The sequence below is a fragment of the Homo sapiens genome, chromosome 6 (genome assembly GCF_000001405.40).
Source record: "Homo sapiens chromosome 6, GRCh38.p14 Primary Assembly".
NCBI lineage: Eukaryota > Metazoa > Chordata > Mammalia > Primates > Hominidae > Homo > Homo sapiens.
In genome coordinates this window covers 26,813,897-26,832,933 of record NC_000006.12, presented here as the reverse complement: position 1 = coordinate 26,832,933, position 19,037 = coordinate 26,813,897, and the positions used below count along the sequence as shown (strand labels likewise).

General features: G+C 39.1%; 1 long non-coding RNA gene and 3 other non-coding genes across 5 annotated transcripts in view, besides 4 other annotated features; all 4 read left to right on the top strand.

Annotated features, from left to right (window-relative positions):
* The window catches only part of LOC124901290 (uncharacterized), a 27,799-nt gene extending 9,992 nt beyond the window's left edge, over nucleotides 1-17,807 (top strand). The window contains exons 2-4 of one of the 2 annotated variants that reach the window (XR_007059532.1): nucleotides 4,939-6,467; nucleotides 8,886-8,974; nucleotides 11,916-17,807. This is a non-coding gene — a long non-coding RNA (uncharacterized LOC124901290). Of the gene's footprint in view, nucleotides 1-4,938; nucleotides 6,468-8,283; nucleotides 8,975-11,915 lie in introns of those variants that run through there. The other variant, XR_007059533.1, reaches the window with a different exon arrangement.
* TRA-AGC14-2 (tRNA-Ala (anticodon AGC) 14-2) lies at nucleotides 4,635-4,707 on the top strand. Its single transcript has one exon. It is a non-coding gene; the product is annotated as a tRNA-Ala (tRNA).
* On the top strand, nucleotides 13,753-13,825 carry TRNAA-AGC (transfer RNA alanine (anticodon AGC)). The gene has a single exon. It is a non-coding gene; the product is annotated as a tRNA-Ala (tRNA).
* Nucleotides 17,714-18,913: an enhancer, noted in NCBI's record as "MED14-independent group 3 enhancer chr6:26686676-26687875 (GRCh37/hg19 assembly coordinates), duplicate 2 on the GRCh38 assembly". NCBI's record gives its function as "activates an origin of replication core promoter dependent on BRD2, BRD4, P300/CBP and CDK7 cofactors, and independent of MED14, by STARR-seq in HCT116 cells {active_cell/tissue: HCT116}" and the evidence as "EXISTENCE:reporter gene assay evidence [ECO:0000049][PMID:35650434]".
* Nucleotides 17,714-19,037: a biological region, named in NCBI's record as "MED14-independent group 3 enhancer GRCh37_chr6:26686676-26687875 duplicate 2".
* Nucleotides 18,036-18,536: an enhancer, noted in NCBI's record as "H3K27ac-H3K4me1 hESC enhancer chr6:26686998-26687498 (GRCh37/hg19 assembly coordinates), duplicate 2 on the GRCh38 assembly". NCBI's record gives its function as "activates a minimal SCP1, AML or CMV promoter by ChIP-STARR-seq in naive and primed H9 embryonic stem cells {active_cell/tissue: H9 hESC(naive and primed)}" and the evidence as "EXISTENCE:reporter gene assay evidence [ECO:0000049][PMID:30033119]".
* On the top strand, nucleotides 18,523-18,595 carry TRNAA-AGC (transfer RNA alanine (anticodon AGC)). The gene has a single exon. It is a non-coding gene; the product is annotated as a tRNA-Ala (tRNA).
* Nucleotides 18,537-19,037: an enhancer, noted in NCBI's record as "H3K27ac-H3K4me1 hESC enhancer chr6:26687499-26687999 (GRCh37/hg19 assembly coordinates), duplicate 2 on the GRCh38 assembly". NCBI's record gives its function as "activates a minimal SCP1, AML or CMV promoter by ChIP-STARR-seq in naive H9 embryonic stem cells {active_cell/tissue: H9 hESC(naive)}" and the evidence as "EXISTENCE:reporter gene assay evidence [ECO:0000049][PMID:30033119]".

Genomic DNA, 19,037 nt, shown 5'->3' with positions numbered 1-19,037 from the left:
CTCACTCTGTCACCCAGGCAATGGTGTGATCTCGGCTCACTGCAACCTCCACCTCCTGGGTTCAAGCGATTCTCCTGCCTCAGCCTCCTGAGTAGCTGGGATTACAGACGCGCACCACCATGCCTGGCTAATTTTTATGTTTTTAGTAGAGATGGGGTTTCCCCATGTTGGTCAGGCTGGCGGCTTTTTGTTTGTTTGTTTGTTTGTTTCTTAATGGGTTACCTGTCCAGGTGACATCAGCTGGTCCATCAAAATACAGGGTCTAAAAAATACATCAAGCACCAATCTTAGGCTTTACAGTAGTGATGTTATCTATAGGAGCAACTGAGGAGGCTACAATCTTGTGACTTCCAGCTACATTATTCCTGAACCATAATTTTAACCTTATGCCTAATTTGTTGGTTTTACAAAGGTAGTTTCAGTCCCTTAGCAGGGAGGGGTTACTTTTGGGAAGCAGCTATTATCATCTTTGTTTTAAAATTAAACTATGAATTCCTCCATAGTTAGCTTGGCCTATGCCCAGGAATGAACAAGGACAGTTTGTGAAGTTAGAAGCAAGATAGTCAGCTATGTTAGATTTTTCTCACTCATAATTTTTGCAAAGATGGTTTCAATTCCACTCATTTTTGCATAGAAAATGCATGCTTATGTGTACCAGGATACACATTCAGGAATGTTTAGAGTGGCATCATTTGTAATAACTGAAGGATAGATATAATGTAATAGCTATCAATGGCAATATGGTTATACAAACTGTGATGTGTTCATACGTGGAAGTCTGTATTGCAATGAACAGTATCAGGCAAGTGGTCATCCAACAACATAGATGGAATTTAAAAACATAATGAAAAGTTGATATCAAAGAAGCCAGATCTAATAATATCGTAAATGATTCCATGTGTATAAATATTGAAAACATACATGTATACATGCATGCATGTATACATACATACACTCAGAAGAGTTTGGAAAAGGAAGACTTGCTGAGTCTTCTGGCCTCCATCTTTCTCCCATGCTGGATGCTCCCTGCCCTCAAACATTGGACTCCAAGTTCTTCGGCTTTTGGACTCTTGACACCAGTGGTTTGCCAGGGGCTCTTGAGCCTTTGGCCACAGACTAAAGGCTGCACTGTCAGCTTCCCTACTTTTGAGGTTTTGGGACTCGGACTGGCTTCCCTGCTCTTCAGCTTGCAGACAGCCTATTGTGGGACTTCAACTTCCGATTGTGTGAGTCAATACTTCTTAATGAGCTCTGCTTCATATACACATCTATCCTGTTAGTTCTGTCCTTCTAGAGAACCCTGACTAATACAGATCTAGGTGTACATACAAACAGATTTTGTGTACATACATACATGTATACACACATACACGTATACAACATACATCCCTACACATGCCTGTGTGCACACATACATGTACACGTGCATGCAAGAATACACGTGTCCATACATACGTGTGCACATCCACATACATGCCTACACGCATGTGTGCACACATGTGCACACACGTATGCAAATACATGCATGCACACACATAAATAACGTGTGCATACATGCATGTACATACATGCACACACGTGCACATATGTGCATACACACATAATGCATGTACAATATATACATACATGTAGGCACACATGAGCACAATGTATACATGTACACGTGCATACATGTGCATACACGTGCACACAAACGTACATGTGTATACACGTGTATACACACATGCATACACACATGTACACGTGTAAACAAATGCATGCAAACATGCATGTGCACATTTATGCATACACGAATACCTACACACAAAACACACAAACATACAAACATTCTGTGTACACACATACCTGGATACACATGCATGCACACACACACATGCATCCATGCCTGCAGGCATGCATGTGCAGACATATGTGTACACAAATGCATACCCGCAGATGCATGTACACATGGGTACACACACATACATATAGTTATACACATATGTAGATGCATGTGCACACAGGTGTACATACATGTATACATACACGTGTGTGTTCACATGTACATGCATGTATGTATGTACGTATGCATGTGCAGATACACGTGTACAAACACATGTACACATGTATAGTGCACATATGCACGCACTTGTACACACATTTAGGCATACACATGCATATGTAGATGCATGTGTACATGCATGTATACATCTACACATGCACAGACACATACATGTACACATGCATACTGTGTACATAATACATGTATACAGATACATGTGTGCATGCACGTGTACACACATGCATGCATACACACATGCATTTGTAGATATATGTGTAGGTGTGTACACACAACATACACATATGCATCCACACATACACATATACACATGAGGTGGCACGTTCAGCTTTCAAGAGGACCATCAGGGACTTTGTCACCTTGACAACTTTAGCCTTGCCTTCTAGTCACCTTGCCGGAACACTTGTGCCCGTGTTTTTCTAGCACTGTCATAAGAATACTTTTACCTATCAAGGCAACTGGGGGTTAGGAGAGCTTTTTGCACAGGAGGCTACTTGGCTTTGTTTGAAAACTGATGATACATGAGGATTGGGGTGGTGAATCACTCACATGTTTCTTCATATGAAAAATGAGGACTGTGGGATTCTCTGGCTGGATCTCAGCACCTAGAAATGGATCTGGGCAATAGGAACTGCTCAGTATTAGCTACCGCTTTGGTTGCCTTCTCCTTGCGGAAAGCTGGCCTCTCACACTGAATTTGTATCATAGGCACTCATGAGGGTCTTGACTGTATCAATATCTGATGAGAGATTTTAGTGCAGTTCTGTTATCGTGGCTGATTTGCTCATTTGGTAGCTAGCATCCAGCTTCTTGTGAACATTAAAATAAAATAAAATAGATTATGGAGGAATAGAATACAGATACGTAGTAAGGTATTATTTTCCAGACAAAATGGATTTGGATAAAAGAATCTAATTAAGAACTTGTGCATGATTCTTTTAAAATTCTTTTGAATCCATTTTTTTTTTTTTGGCCTGTTTTCAAGTCTCCGATTTTTGTCACCCTTCTCACACCAGGTCAGAGAGATAGCTAATGGTCAGAAGGAATCTTCCAGCAATGACCATAGCGCTTTCTCCTGCCTGCAGATGCCTCTTTTTATTCAGCCTTTATGGGAAGTAGCAGCACCATCCAGTTCTCAGAGAGCAAGCTCTGGAGTAACTGAGCTAACCCCAGTTACCCCAGTGGATTTACAGATTGAGGTTACAACCCAGCAGGGTTCTCTTCCTGGAAAGAATAGCCTTCCCTCTAAGGTTTCAAATAGACCCTGGGTGAGGAAGGAGCCCTAAACAGCTTGAAAAATTGAATGCTCTTTGGGCAAAGCAGGAAGCCGTCCTATGGAAGAGCATCATTTGAGCATAAATCAGGTTATCAGGACAAACAGAGTGTTCAGGAGGTCAAGATGGTTAAGCAGAGACCCTGACCAGAATGTCCGTGGCGGAGAGAAACAATCTTGTTGGGAAAAGGATGACAATAATTGGGGACTTAGAATAAAGGCTAAAAATGATTCAAAGAGAATGCAAAAAGAATCAGGCACAAATCGTTTACTATACTCTGTTATGCAAATCTCACCTTACTATGTGTTTGTATTCTATTCCTCCACAATCTTTATTTTATTTTAATGTTCAAAGAGACTTGTAGGTGCCAATTAAATGAACAAAACAGCCAGAGACAACAGAACTGCCCTAAAAAAAGTCCCGCATCAGCTCTTGAGAGCAGGTTCCTTAAAGGTGAACAATATTCCACATACAAGGACTTTTTCAGCACCATGCATTAGAAATGGAAGTGAATGTTTATTATTTTTTGTATAAGTTGGTTGATATGGCTTTTCAGCTTCCCTCAGTATCATTATCCAAATTTTGTAGATGACACTAAAGCTCAGAGGAGTTAAACCATTTTCCTTAAATCACATAGCTTTAAATAGGAAAACCAGATATGAAAAGCAGATTTTTTTTCTAAATTAAAAAACCAAAAACAAAAACACGTGAGCTCTTGCTTTACCCTAGCACATAGTCTTGCCATCTGTTTTCTCCACACCAGGTGATTCCTGTAACATTCATTCACATAACAAATACAAATAAATGAGTGGATTCATTCATCAGATATTAATTCAGAATCCCTTTTGTGCCTTCCAGAAATCTGGACCATCTCACAACCCCCAGAGAGTCTCAGCTACAAGGAACAAGTGATAATGCCATCCCACTTTTATAAACACACACACACACACATGCAATACACACACAATCATTTAATCATTTTTAATTATTTAATTATTTTTTAAAAATCAGTGACACTTTAGCTGGGCAGGTCTAGATAGGTCTTCTTTGCTGGGACGTGTCTTTTTCTGTCCTGGAATACCCTAAACTTCACATTTTGGCAGCGTGAGTTTTCCCTTTGTGACTTTCTCCTTCTTCCCTTTTTTCCTCCTTCTTTGCAGAGAATGAGTAGCCACTGCACCTTGCCCTGCGCCATCAATGAGAAGATCTGCTCTTAGTAGAGCCCTGCTTTCCCGCTGAAGGCCCTGAAATCACCTGTGTTCCAGGCCACCCACTAAGGATAAACAAAGCTTCCCTGATATGGGGAATTAGCTCAAGTGGTAGAGCGCTTGCTTAGCATGCAAGAGGTAGTGGGATCAATGCCCACATTCTCCAAGCTTTATTATTTAGGTACCCAAACCCGAGTCAGTGTCTGAGAGCAAGACACTGCTCTCGGTGTCTTTGGTTCAAGACATAGGAGCAGCAACAATACAGGACTGGTGACAGCTTCCTGCTGGCATTCAGTATAGTGTAGATCTACTGTGTAATTAATTTTCTGTTTCTTCGAGGAGCTGTGAAACCAAAGGACATATAAAACTGCTCTTTTCTCCCTGTTTCTGCCTGCAGCTTGGTCCTAAATGTGAGACAATTGTGAAAAGTGGAGGACAGAGCCACCTGGTTAAATACAGCCCCAGCTTTCTGGTGAGAGGACTGAAACCAAGATGTGTCAAGTAACTAGAATGTGCCTGGACAGATACTGTAGAAAGCAAAACCATAAAGTTGTTCATGAGCTTGTGGACGCACCTGCCAGCTGTGAATAAGTGGCTCTAATCCCGAACAACTTACCTAAAAAGAGCCTGAGAGCTGAACTGTGCAATGGCCCACTTTCCAGTCCTCACTGACCACTGGGTTGCACACACTTTGGAGATCTCTGAACAGCAGTGTCAAGGCTTTCAAATAGAGTTATCTTTGAAACGACAACACATGAAAGTCTGGTTGGTACTTGGAGCTTAAATACAAGGCAATTGTGTGCCTGCAAAAACAAAAATAGCAATATTATCCTTAAGATTTCAACAAGACACAGTGTCTCATCACATAATCCAAAGAAGTCCAGGTTACAAGCCCCACAATATTCAGCATTATGAAAAAACAGGGAGATCTTAATTCACATGGCAAAGAGAATCCTCGAATAACAATATTGAGAGGACACAGATGTCAAAATCATCTGACACATACATTAAAGCAGATATTATAACAATGCTCCTAGAATCGGGGATAACATTCGTGAAGTGAATGGAAAGTTGGAAAGTCTCACCAAATATTTCGAATACATAAACACCAATTTAAACTTAAGAATTAAAAAAATGTATTAACCAAAACTCTTAGGGGAAATAAAAAGCTTAATTGGAGGATCTCCATAATCGAATGCAGAAGACTAAGGAAAAAGTCAATGAACTTGAAAACAGAACACGAATACCTACATAATCTGAACTATAGAGAGAAAGGAGGATTTTATTGTCTCTGAACAGAGGCTCAGGCACAAATAAAAAATAACAAATCCAACATTCACATTATTGTAATCTGGAAAGAAGAGGACAAAGTGGTCTTTGTGGGATAAAACTTTGAACAATTAATAGCTGAAAATGGTTCAAATTTGTCAAAAGATATAAACCAGATTTTTAAAGTTCAGTAAATGTCAATCAGGATAAACCCAAAGAAACCCATAGCAAGGCATATCATAATCAAACTGCTGAAAACTAAGAAAATACAAAACAATTTTGAAAGCAGCCAAAGGGAAATGAAAGAGAAACTACCAAATGAATGATTGTAGATTTCGCATCAGGAACCATAGGGGCCAGAAAAAATGTCATAACATTCGGTAAGTAACAAAAGAAAAAGACATATCGACCCAGAATGCTATGTGGAGCAAAAGTATCTTCCAGACATAAAGGCAAATAAATGCATTCTCAGTGGAAGGTAAGTAAATACATTCTCATTCTTAGGAAGACTGCTGGAAAAGAATTAGCAAAGATTTGAGATAAGAAAAATGATACCAGAAGGAAACTTAGAACATCATCAGTGAAGGAACAAAAGCAGAAATAGAACATGTCTGGGTAGACATAACAGACTATTATTCTTCCCTTGAGTTCCTTAAGGTATGTTTGATGATTGAAAGCAAAAATTGTAACTTTATCAGAAGCAGTTGTCATTGTATCTAGATGTACTACATACAGAAGATAAAAGGGTAAGTGTAATGGGACTAACTCTTGATGAAGTTTCTTTATTCAACTTGAATGGTAAAATATTGATTCTAAGTATACTGTGAAAGGTTATATATGTATATGGTAAACCCTAGACCACCTACTAACAAGATTTAAATAAACCAAAACAAGATAGAAAGAGGAACATAGATGAATTAAAACAAAGGGAAACAAGGTTAATACATTATTAAATAATAGACCTATCTAAAAACTTATCTATAATGACATTACATGTAAATAATCTAAACGCATTAATTAAAAACTAGAGATCATCAGAATGTGTTAAAAATAAATATGCTGACTAAAGAAAGCCACCTGCTATACACTTATATATAAGAATAAAAGTTATAGAGCAGATTGAAAGAAAAGAGTGGGAAAAGATACCTCATGCAAGCACTAATCAAAGACAGCTGTGATGTATATATAAAAAAATCAGACAAAGTACATTTGAAAGCAGAGAAACTTTTCAGGAATAATGAGGCCTGCTAAATAATTATGATTGTCAATTTTCCAGGGGAATATTGTCCCAAGTGTATATGAGAACATAGAGCTTCAAAACTCATAAACAAAATTGGATACGCAAGGTAAAAACAGAAAAATCCAATTAGAGTTGCCGACACTAACACTCCTCTCTCGGTAATTGGTAGACTTAGTAGAAAACAAATCAGCAAACATATTGGAGAATTAAACCATACCATCCAGTAATGGACCTATTAACTTCATAATGCAAAATAAAAATTTAGGTAGAAGGCAAAGACAAAAGTTAAAAGAAAAGTAAAGATCATGTTATAACCAGGAAATTAAGAGTAGTCCAGCATATAGAAGAGTGCTATTATTGGAAGAGTTATTTAGTTATTTTGAGACATTTTTTGAAAGAGTTATTTAGCTGGAAATGACAGAAAGACTGAAAATGGTGAATCTGGAGGTGGATCTCCCCTTGTCCATATTTATTTTGTCTTTTTTTGAGGTCTAGGGTGTCTATACTTCCTCTGAATTACCTACAGTGTCTGGCACAGAGCATCTCCCCAGTGAATATGTATTAAATGAGTAGAAAGTAATTTATAGATTCAAAAGAACTGGGCAAGAATAATGTTCATTATTTGACAAATCCTTGAATGTAGTGTTTGAAGGAAGACAATAAGTCAAAGTTGACTTGAAAGGTAAGCCCAAGTCCAGACTCTTTTCTGTAATCCCAGCACTTTGAGAGGCCGAGATGGGCAGATCCCGTGACACCAGGAGTTTGAGACCAGCCTGGACAACACAGTGAAACCCTGTCTCTACAAAAAATACAAAAATTAGCCAGGTGTGGTGGTATGCATCTGTAGTTCCAGCTACTCAGGAGGCTGAGGTGGGAGGATCGCTTGAATCTGGGAGGCGGAGGTTGCAGTGAACAGAGATTGCACCGGTGCCTGGACAACAAAGTGAGACCCTGTCATAAAATAAAATAAAATAAAATAAAATAAAATAAAATAAAATAAAATAAAATAAAATAAAATAAAATAGTTAAACCCAGGCCGGGAGGGGTAGCTCACACATGTAATCACAGCACTTTGGGAGGCTGAGGTGGGCGGATCACCTGAGGTCAGGAGTTTGAGACCAGCCTGGCCAACATGGTGAAACCCCATCTCTACTAAAAATACAAAAATTAGCTGGGCGTGGTTGCAAGCACCTGTAGTCCCAGCTACTCAGGAGGCTGAGACAGGAGAATTACTTGAACCTGGGAGACAGAGGTTGCCGTGAGCCAAGATCTCACCAGTGCAGTACAGCGTGGGTGACAGAGCAAGTAAGTAAAGAGGAGGTTTGGAATTAGATATTTGGTGTATGAATGAATGGGCTAAAGTGCAAAAGAACAGGCAGAATAACTGAGCTGGTACAGAGGAAAAAAATCACACTTAAAATCTAAAAGTATCTGCTTCTCAATTTGGGCTTTCCCACTTAGCAGCTTTGACACCTTAGAAAGAACACTTAACTTACCTGAGCTTCTATTACTTCTAAAAAGTGCATAAAGTGCAGGCTAAGACATAGTTTTTTTGGCAAAATTCAGTCAGACTACATCAAGTAAACTCCCTAAGTCTCCTAGTATAATTCATGGCACAAAAACTGGGGAAAAAACAGGGAGGATATGTTTATAAGTTCAGTTTGGGTTTTTTGTTGAGTGAATGTCTCCAGTCATAGAGATGCAAGTGTAGATACACCGTAAGAGTAGTATGAACAGGAGACACCTTGGAAGGCTATTTCTTCCTTCATTCATTCAGTTGGTCACTCAATGAACTATCATGAATTGAGCACTACCTCTGTTTCTTATCAACAAAGGAGACTACGGAAAAGAAGAGTGACTAAGATCTCTGAAGAAGGGAAAAGCTAGATGACTGGGCCACAAGAGAAAAAAAGCAGCAAGACAGGTACAATTGTTTCTGGTCCCTCAAGCCAGAAGGTCCTATCATTATGTGAATACTGGAAACGGGTGGACTCCACCTGTCCTGAGTGGGGAATTCTTCCAGTGCAGCACTGGCTGATAAGCAGTGATTTCCAAGTAGCATTGATTGTGTTCTTTAAAAGCTAGGAATTGATAAAGCAGCAGTGTGTGGGAAATGAGATTTAATAATCTGGATCTCAGCTCTTAGGAACAGTTGCTCTCTTAGAGCAGCAGGCCACCTGTCAATCTCGTATTCTGAAGGTCCTGAGTTTGAACATCAGACAAGGTACAGCTTTTGCCGCTCTTTCCGTTAAGGGAAATGAAATAGGTGTGATAAATAATGTAACACAAATGCTATGAGATAATGATTTCAAGACAGTCCAAATATTAGCTTAAAATTTAAAAATGAGCTTTTCTTTTTTCTTTCTTTCTTTCTTTCTTTCTTTCTTTCTTTCTTTCTTTCTTCCTTTCTTCTTTCTTTCTTTCTTTCTTTCTTTCTTTCTTTCTTTCTTTTTCTCTTTTTCCTTCTTTTGGCTTCTTAGTGGTTTGAATACAAGGCGTGGTGAAGAGATATAAATTACACAAGAAACTACAAGCTATGTCATATGTCTACCTCTCTAGCTGACAAGGGAAGCAGGGGAAATTTCTCTTCCAATTGTCTGCTCTGAAGGTCATCCAAACATAATTATCAGGTGGGGTGGGTGAACTCTTTTATTCTTTTAATCATCCAACAAATATTTCTCAAGCGCATACCTTGTTAAGAGACTGTTTTGGGTACAGTAATTCACAGTGAATAAAACACAGATATTCTCACCTTTGTGATACTACGTCATAGTTGCAAGGAGTGGGGAGAAACAGACAGGAAGCAAAGAAGAAAAATAAACAAGAAGTCATGTGATAATATCTACTGGGAGGGACTCATTAGGCAGTAAAGGACTCGGCAGTGTGGAGGTGACACATTCAGTTTTCAGTAGAAGAATCAGGGAAGTTGTCACTTTGAAGCTATCATTTAGCTTCCCTTTCTTTCAATCTTCTTTCTTTACATGGGAAATAAGGATTGTGGGATATTTTTGGGTGGATCACAGCACCTAGAGATGGACCTGATCAATAAGAACTGCTCAGTAAGCATTAGCTACTGCTTCGGTTGCCTTCCCCCTGTGGAGTGCTGGCCTCTTGGATTGAGCTTGCATCATAGGTGTTCAGTAGGAGCTTGCTTAGTGGATTTATAGGTTGAGGTTAGAACCCACTGGAATTCTCTTCCTGGAAAGAACAGGCTTCTCTTTAAGGTTTCATACAGACCCTGGTTGAGGAAAGAGCCCTAAATTGCTTGAAAAATTGAATGCTCTATGGGCAAAGCAGGAAGCCCTCCTATGGAAGGGCATCATTTGGGCATATATCAGGGTCTCAGTAAAAACATGAGTGCTCAGGAAGTCAAGATGGTTAAGCAGAGAATCTGACCAGAATGTTCATGGTGCGAAGAAATAATCTTGTTGGGTGTAGGATTACAACAACTGGGAAATTAGAATACAGGCTAAATGAGATTCAAAAATAATACAACAAGAATCAGGCACAAATCCTTTACTACTACATTCTTTTGTACAAATCCATTTTGCCTAGAAAATCGTACCTTACTATACATCCCTATTGTGTTTCTCCACCATCTATTTTACTTTTTAAACTTTATTTCATTTTTGTCATCACAGAAGCTTGTTGCTACAAAATAAATGAGCAAATCAGCCAATGGCAACAAAGCTGCACTGATCTCTCTCCTTAGACCTTCAGAACATTTTCCTTAAAGGTGAACAATACTCCACGTTCAAGGACTTTTTCAGCACTATGTGCTAGAAACTATGCTGACTGTTTATTAATTTTTATGTAAGTTGGTCGATATAGTTTCTCAGCTTCCCCAAGTATTATTACCACAGTACTATAGATGACACTGAAGCTCAGAGCAGTTAAACCATTTTCCTCAGATCACATAACTTTAAAGAGGGAAACCAGATATGGGAAGCAGATTTCTTTCTAAATGAAAAAATCATGAGCTCTTGCTTTCACTTAGCACATAGTCTCATCATCTGTTTTCTTCACACCAGCTCACTCATGTAACATTCATTCATTTACCAAATACAGATAAATGAGTGGATTTATTCTTGCTTTCATCAGATACTAATTCAAAATCGCTTCTGTGTCTGCTACACTGTGCTCAAGACTTGCCAGTGCCTTTGTCTCCTCTCCCTCAAATCTCTCCACCCAATGTCTTGACAAATACTGTAGATTCTTCCTGCATAACCTCTCCAGAATCTTTTCCTTCTGTTATCCATGCTACAGTGTTTATGGAGGATGTTTTCTTCACCTATGAAGTGTGATGGGGGCTGAAGCTGCAGCAAGACTCATGCTGTTCACCTCAGGAGCTGACACAGTAAATGTGGATAAACCTCAATCCTTTAATATCTTTATGACTTCTTTCCCAGTTACCCCAGCGAATTTACAGATTGAGGTTAAAACCACAACAGGATTATCTTCCTGGAAAGAATAGGCTTCCCTTTAAGGTTTCACATAGATACTGGGTGAGGAAGGAGCCCTAAATTGCTTGAAAAATTGAATGCTCTTTGGGCAAAGCAGGAAGCCTTGCTATGGAAGAGCATCATTTGAACATAAATCAGAGTCTCAGTACAAACAGAGTGCTCAGGACATCAAGATGGTTAACCAGAGAGCCTGGCCAGAATATCTGCGGTGGAGAGAAACGATCTTGTTGGGAGAAGGATGACAATAATTGGGGACTTAGAATAAAGGCTAAAAATGATTCAAAGAGAATGCAAAAAGAATCAGGCACACATCCTTTACTCTGTTGTGCAAATCTCACCTTACTGTGTGTTTGTATTCTATTCCTCCACAATCTTTATTTTATTTTATTTTTATGTTCACAGAGATTTGTTGGTGCCAACTAAATGAGCCCAACAGCCAGTGACAACAGAACTGCACTAAAAAAAGTCCCTCATCAGCTCTTGAGAGCAGGTTCCTTAAAGGTGAACAATATTCCACATACAAGGACTTTTTCAGCACCATGCATTAGAAATGGAAGTGAATGTTTATTATTTTTTGTATAAGTTGGTTGATACGGCTTTTCAGCTTCCCTCAGTATCATTATCCAAATTTTGTAGATGACACTAAAGCTCAGAGGAGTTAAACCATTTTCCTCAAATCACATAGCTTTAAATAGGAAAACCAGATATGAAAAGCAGATTTTTTTCTAAATTAAAAAAAAAAAAAAAACTTGAGCTCTTGCTTTACCCTAGCACATAGTCTCACCATCTGTTTTCTCCATGCCAGGTCATTCATGTAACATTCATTCACATAACAAATACAAATAAATGAGTGGATTCATTCATCAGCTATTAATTCAGAATCTCTTTTGTGTCTACCACACTAGGCTCAAGACTTCCCAGTGTCTTTGTCTCCTCTCCCTCAAATCTCTCCACCCAATGTCTTGACAAATACTGTAGATCCTTCCTGCACAGCATCACCAGAATGTTTTTCTTTCTTTTCATTCACCTCTGTCATCATCCATGCTATGGTGTTTATGGAGGATGTATTCTGCAGCAGGAAGTGTGATGGGCACTGACGCTGCAGAAAGACTCCTGTTGTCCACCTCGGGAGCTGACACGATAAATGCGGGTAAATCTCAATCCTTTAATATCTTTATGACTTCTTTCTCTTTCTCTTCAATTTCTATTTTCTCATGTTCAAGCTCTGACATTCAAAACTAAACACCTTTCTCTAACATGTTGCTTTAATTATTTAAGCATTCTGCCTGGGATTTTTTCAATTACTCTTGGGAGTTTTCATAAAACTCTACCAACATATCTCCAAGTGGCCAGGCTTTTCAATCACTGCTTCCCTCCGTGTGTATTTCACACACACACACACACACACACACACACACACAGCACTTAAATTGAACAGGTTTATTTCTTCACACAGGAATTCCTACGAACAGCCCGGTTTTCTCCACCATATGTCCACTCCTTCTCTGCATAGCTGAATTTTGATTCTTACACTCTAATATTTTACATATTCTTACACTCTGATATGATCTTGTCTCTTATTCTTTATGGCTCTGCTCTGTAATTTTGTTGTTGTTGTTCTGAGATATAGTTGGACATGTAACTTGTACATGACACACCTTAGCAAGGAGGCAACCTATATCTCAGATGCAAGTGAAAGAAGCACTCCCCAGGGGTTTCCTAAGGTAGTGGTCAGCACGCTGGCTTCATTCCTGAAAGGGCCTAGTTATGAAAACAACAGGAGCTTTTTGCCTTCCAGAAATCTGTACCATCTCAAAATCCCCAGAGAGTCTCAGCTACAAGGAACAAGTGATAATACTATCTCACTTTTATAAACACACACACACAACACACACACACAAAATCATTTAATCATTTTTAATTATTTAATCATTTTTTAAAAATCAGTGACACTTTAGATGGGCAGGTCTAGGCAGGGCCTCCTTTCCTGGAATGTGCCTTTTTCTGTCCCGGAATACCCTAAACTTGACATTTTGGCAGTGTGAGTTTTCCCTTTTTGACTTTCTCCTTGTTCCCTTTCCTCTTCCTTCTTTGCAGAGAATGAGTAGCCACTGCACCTTGCCCTGGGCCATCAGTGAGAAGATCTGCTCTTAGTAGAGCCCTGCTTTCCCGCTGAAGGCCCTGAAATCCCCTGTGTTCCAGGCCACCCACTAAGGATCAATAAAGCTCCCCTGATGTGGGGGAATTAGCTCAAGTGGTAGAGCGCTTGCTTAGCATGCAAGAGGTAGTGGGATCGATGCCCACATTCTCCAAACTTTATTATTTAGACCCTGGGTCTCCAAACACTCAGGTCTCCAAACCCAAGTCAGAGAACAGGATGCTGCTTTGGTTCAAGATGTAGGAGCAGCAACAATACAGGGCTGGTGACGGCTCCCTCCTGGCATTCAGTATAGTGTAGATCTACCGTGTAATTAATTTTCTGCTTCTTTGAGGAGCTGTGAAACCAAGGGACATAAACAATTGCTCTTTTCTCCCTGTTTCTGCCTGTAGCTTGAATGTGAGGCAACTGTGAAAAGTGCAGGGCAGAGCCACCTGGGTAAATACAGCCCTGGCTTTCTGGTGAGAGGACTGAAACCAGGATGTGTCAAGTAACTAGAATGTGCCTGGACAGATACTGTAGAAAGCAAACCCATAAAGTTGTTCATGAGCTTGTGGACGCACCTGCCAGCTGTGAATAAGTGGGTCTAATCCCAAACAACTTACCTAAAAAGAGCCTGAGGACTGAACTAAACAATGGTCCGCTTTCCAGTCCTCACTGACCACTGGTTGCACACACTCCAGAGATCTCTCATCCGCAGTGTCAAGGCTTTCAAATAGAGTTATCTGTGAAACAACAACACATGGAAGTCTGGTTGGTACTTGGAGCTTAAATACAAGGCAATTGTGTGCCTGCAAAAACAAAAAGAGCAATATTATCCTTAAGATTTCAACAAGACACAGTGTCTCATCACATAATCCAAAGAAGTCCAGGTTACAAGCCCCAAAATATTCAGCATTATGAAAAACCAGGGAGATCTTAATTCACATGGCAAAGAGAATCCTTGCATAACAATATTGAGAGGACACATATGTCAAAATCATCTGACACATACATTAAAGCAGTTATTATAACAATGCTCCTAGAATTACGGGATAGCATTCATGAAGTGAATGGAAAGTTGGAAAGTCTCACCAAATATTTGGAATATGTAAACACCAATTTAAACTTAAGAATTAAAAAAAGTATTAACCAAAACTATTAGGGGAAATAAAAAGCTTAATTGGATGATCTCAATAGCAGTATGCAGAAGACTAAGGAAAAAGTCAATGAACTTGAAAACGGAACAAGAATACCTACAGAATCTGACCTATAGAAAGAAAGGAGGATTTTATTGTCCCTGAACAGAGGCTCAGGGACAAATAAAAAATAACAAATCTAACATTCACATTATTGTAATCTGGAAACATTCACATTATTGTAAGAGGACAAAGAGGTCTTTGTGGGATAAAACTGTGAAGAATTAATGGCTGAAAATGTATCAAATTTCTCAAAAGATATAAACCAGATTTTTAAAGTTCAGTAAATGTCAAGCAGGATAAACCAAAAGAAACCCATTGCAAGACATATCATAATCAAACTGCGGAAAATTAAGAAAACACAAAACAATTTTGAAAGCAGCCAAAGGGAAATGAAAGATAAAATACCAAATGAATGATTGTAGATTTCTCATCGGGAACCCAGGAGCCAGAAAAAAATGTCATAACATTCAGTAAATACCAAAGGAAAAATACATTATCAACCCAGAATGGTATGTGGAGCAAAAGTATCTTCCAGACATAAAGGCAAATAAATGCATTCTCATTGGAAGGTAAATAAATACATTCTCAGTCCTAGCAAAACTGCTGGAAAAGAATTAGCAAAGGTTTGAGATAAGAAAAGTGATACCAGAAGGAAACTTAGAACATCATCAATGAAGGAACAAAAGCAGAAATAGAAAATGTCTGGGTAGACATAACAGACTATTATTCTTCTCTTGAGTTCCTTAAGGTATGTTTGATGGTTGAAAGCAAAAATTGTAACTTTATCTGATGCAGTTGTCATTGTATCTAGATGTACTACATACATAAGATAAAAGGGTAAATGTAATGGGACTAACTCTTGATGAAGTTTCTATATTCAACTTGAATGGTAAAATATTGATTCTTAGTATACTGTGAAAAGTTATATATGTATATGGTAATCCCTAGACCACTTAACAACCAGATTGAAATAAACCAAAACAAGATAGACAGAGGAACATAGAAGAATTAAAACAAAGGGAAAAAAGGTTAATAAATTATTAAATAGTAGATCTATCTAAAAACTTATCTATAATAACATTATATGTAAATTATCTAAATGCATTAAGTAAAAACTAGAGATCATCAGAATGTGTTAAAAATAAATATGCTGACTAAAGAAAGCCACCTGCAATACACTTATAAATAAGAATAAAAGTTATAGAGCAGATTGAAAGAAAAGAGTGGGAAAAGATACCTCATGCAAGCATTAATCAAAGACAGCTGTGGTGTATATATATAAAATCAGACAAAGTAGATTTGAAAGCAGAGAAACTTTTCAGGAATAATGAGGCCTCCTAAATAATTATGATTGTCAATTTTTCAGGAGAATATTGTCCCAAATGTATATGAGGACACAGAGCTTCAAAACTCATAAACAAAATTGGATACGCCAAGTAAAAATAGAAAAATCCAGTTATAGTTGCAGTCATTAACACTCCTCTCTGAGTAATTGGAAGATTTAGTGGAACACAAATCAACAGACATACTGGAGAATTGAACCATGCCATCCAGTAATGGACCTATCAATTTCATAATGCAAAATAAAAATTCAGGTAGAAAGCAAAGACAAAAATTAAAAGAAAAGCAAGATCATGTTATAATGAGAAAATTAAGAGTAGTCCAGTGTATAGAAGGGTGCTATTATTGAAAGAGTTTGAAATAGTGACTTAGTTATTTTGAAACATTTTTGAAGACGTTATTTAGCTGGAAATGACAGAAAGACTGAAAATGGTGAATGTGGAGGTGGATCTTCCCTTGTCCATATTTATCTTGTCTTCGTTTGAGGTCTGGGGTGTCTATACTTCCTCTGAATTACCTGATCTTACTACAGTGTCTGGCACAGAGCATCTCCCCAGTGAATATGTACTAAATGAGTAGAAAGTAATTGATAGATTCAAAAGAGTTGTGCAAGAATAATGTTCATTATTTGACTAATCACTGAATGTGGTGTTTCAAGGAAGACAATGAATCAAAGTTGACTTGAAAGGTAAGCCCAGGGCCAGACGTGGTGGCTCATTTCTGTAATCCCAGCACTTTGGGAGGCCGAGATCAGTGGATCCCTTGACACCAGGAGTTTGAGACCAGCCTAGGCAACACAGTGAAAACCTGTCTCTACAACAAATACAAAAATTAGCCGGGTGTGGTGGTATGCATCTGTAGTTCCAGCTACTCAGGAGGCTGAGGTGGGAGGATCGCTTGAACTCAGGAGGTGGAGGTTGCAGTGAACAGAGAACGCACCGGTACCTGGACAACAAAGTGAGACCCTGTCATAAAATAAAATAGTTAAACCCAGGCCAGGAGGGGTGGCTCATGCCTGTAATCCCAGCACTTTGGAAGGCCAAGGTAGGCTGATCACGTGACGTCAGGAGGTTGAGACCAGCCTGGCCAACATGGTGAAACCCCGTCTCTACTAAAAATACAAAAATTAACCAAGCGTGGTGGCAGGCACCTGTAGTCCCAGCTACTCTGGAGGCTGAGACAGGAGAATTACTAGAACCCGGGAGGCAGAGGTTGCAGTGAGCCAAGATCTTACCATTGCACTGCAGCCTGGGCGACAGAGTGACACTCTGTCGAAAAAAAAAAAAAAAAAAAAGTTAAGCCCAAAAAGTAAGTAAGGAAGAGGTTTGGAATTAGATATTTGTTGTATGAATGAGTGAGCTAAAGTGCAAAAGAACGGGCAGAATAACTGAGCTGGTACAGAGGGAAAAAATCACATTTAAAATCTAAAAATATCTGCTTCTTAGTTCAGGCTTTCCCACTTAGCAGCTTTGGCACCTTAGGAACACTTAACTTATCTGAGCCTCTATTACTTCTAAAAAGTGCATAAAGTGCAGACTAAGACAGTTTTTTTGGCAAAATTCAGTCAGACTACATCAAGTAAACTCCCTAAGTCTCCTAGTATAATTCATGGCACAAAAAATTGGGGAAAAAACAGGGAGGATATGATTATAAGTTCAGTTTATGTTTTTTGTTGAGTGAATGTCTCCAGTCATAGAGATGCAAGTGTAGATACACAGTAAGAGTAGTATGAATGGGAGACACCTTGGAAGGCTATTTCTTCCTTCCTTCATTCAGTTGGTCACTCAGTGAACTATCATGAATTGAGCACCGCCTCTGTTTCTTATCAACAAAGGAGACTGCGGAAAAGAAGAGTGACTAAGATCTCTGAAGAAGGGAAAAGCTAGATGACTGGGCCACAAGAGGAAAAAAAGCAGCAAGACAGTTACAATTGTTTCTGGTCCCACTTTTATAAACACACACACACACACACACACACACACACACACACACAAAATCATTTAATCATTTTTAAGTATTTAATCATTTTTTAAAAATCTGTGATGCTTTACCTGGGCATGTCTAGGCAGGTCCTCCTTTGCTAGGACGTGCCCTTTTCTGTCCCGGAATACTCTAAACTTGGCATTTTGGCAGCGTGAAGTTTTCCCGTTGTGACTTTCTCCTTGTTCCCTTTTCTCCTCCTTCTTTGCAGACAATGAGTAGCCACTGCTGTTTGCCCTGGCCCATCAATGAGAAGATCTGCTCTTAGAGCCCTGCTTTCCTGCTGAAGGCCCTGAAATCACCTGTGTTCCAGGCCACCTGCTAACAATAAATAATGCTGCCCTGATGTGGGGAATTAGCTCAAGTGGTAGAGCGCTTGCTTAGCACGCAAGAGGTAGTGGGATCGATGCCCACATTCTCCAAGCTTTATTATTTAGACATCGTGTCTCCAAACACTCAGGTCTCCAAACCCAAGTTAGTGTCTGAGAACAGGATGCTGCTTTGGTTCAAGACGTAGGAGCAGCAATAATAGAGGGCTGGTGATGGCTCCCTCTTGGCATTCAGTATAGTGTAGATCTACCATGTAATTAATTCTCTGTTTCTTTGAGGAGCTGTGAAACCAAGGGACATATACAACTGCTCTTTTCTCCCTGTTTCTACCTGCAGCTTTGTCCTAAATGTGAGACAATTATGAAAAGTGCAGCGCAGAGCCACTTGGGTAAATACAGCCCCGGCTTTCTGCTCAGGGGACAGAGTTTGAGGCACTGCAGAGGAACCGGCCAAAGTATGAGACCCATATATTGAGAGTAACAGAGTGTAAAGTTCAAAAAAATCAAAATATTTAAAGATTTATCATGGGTCTTG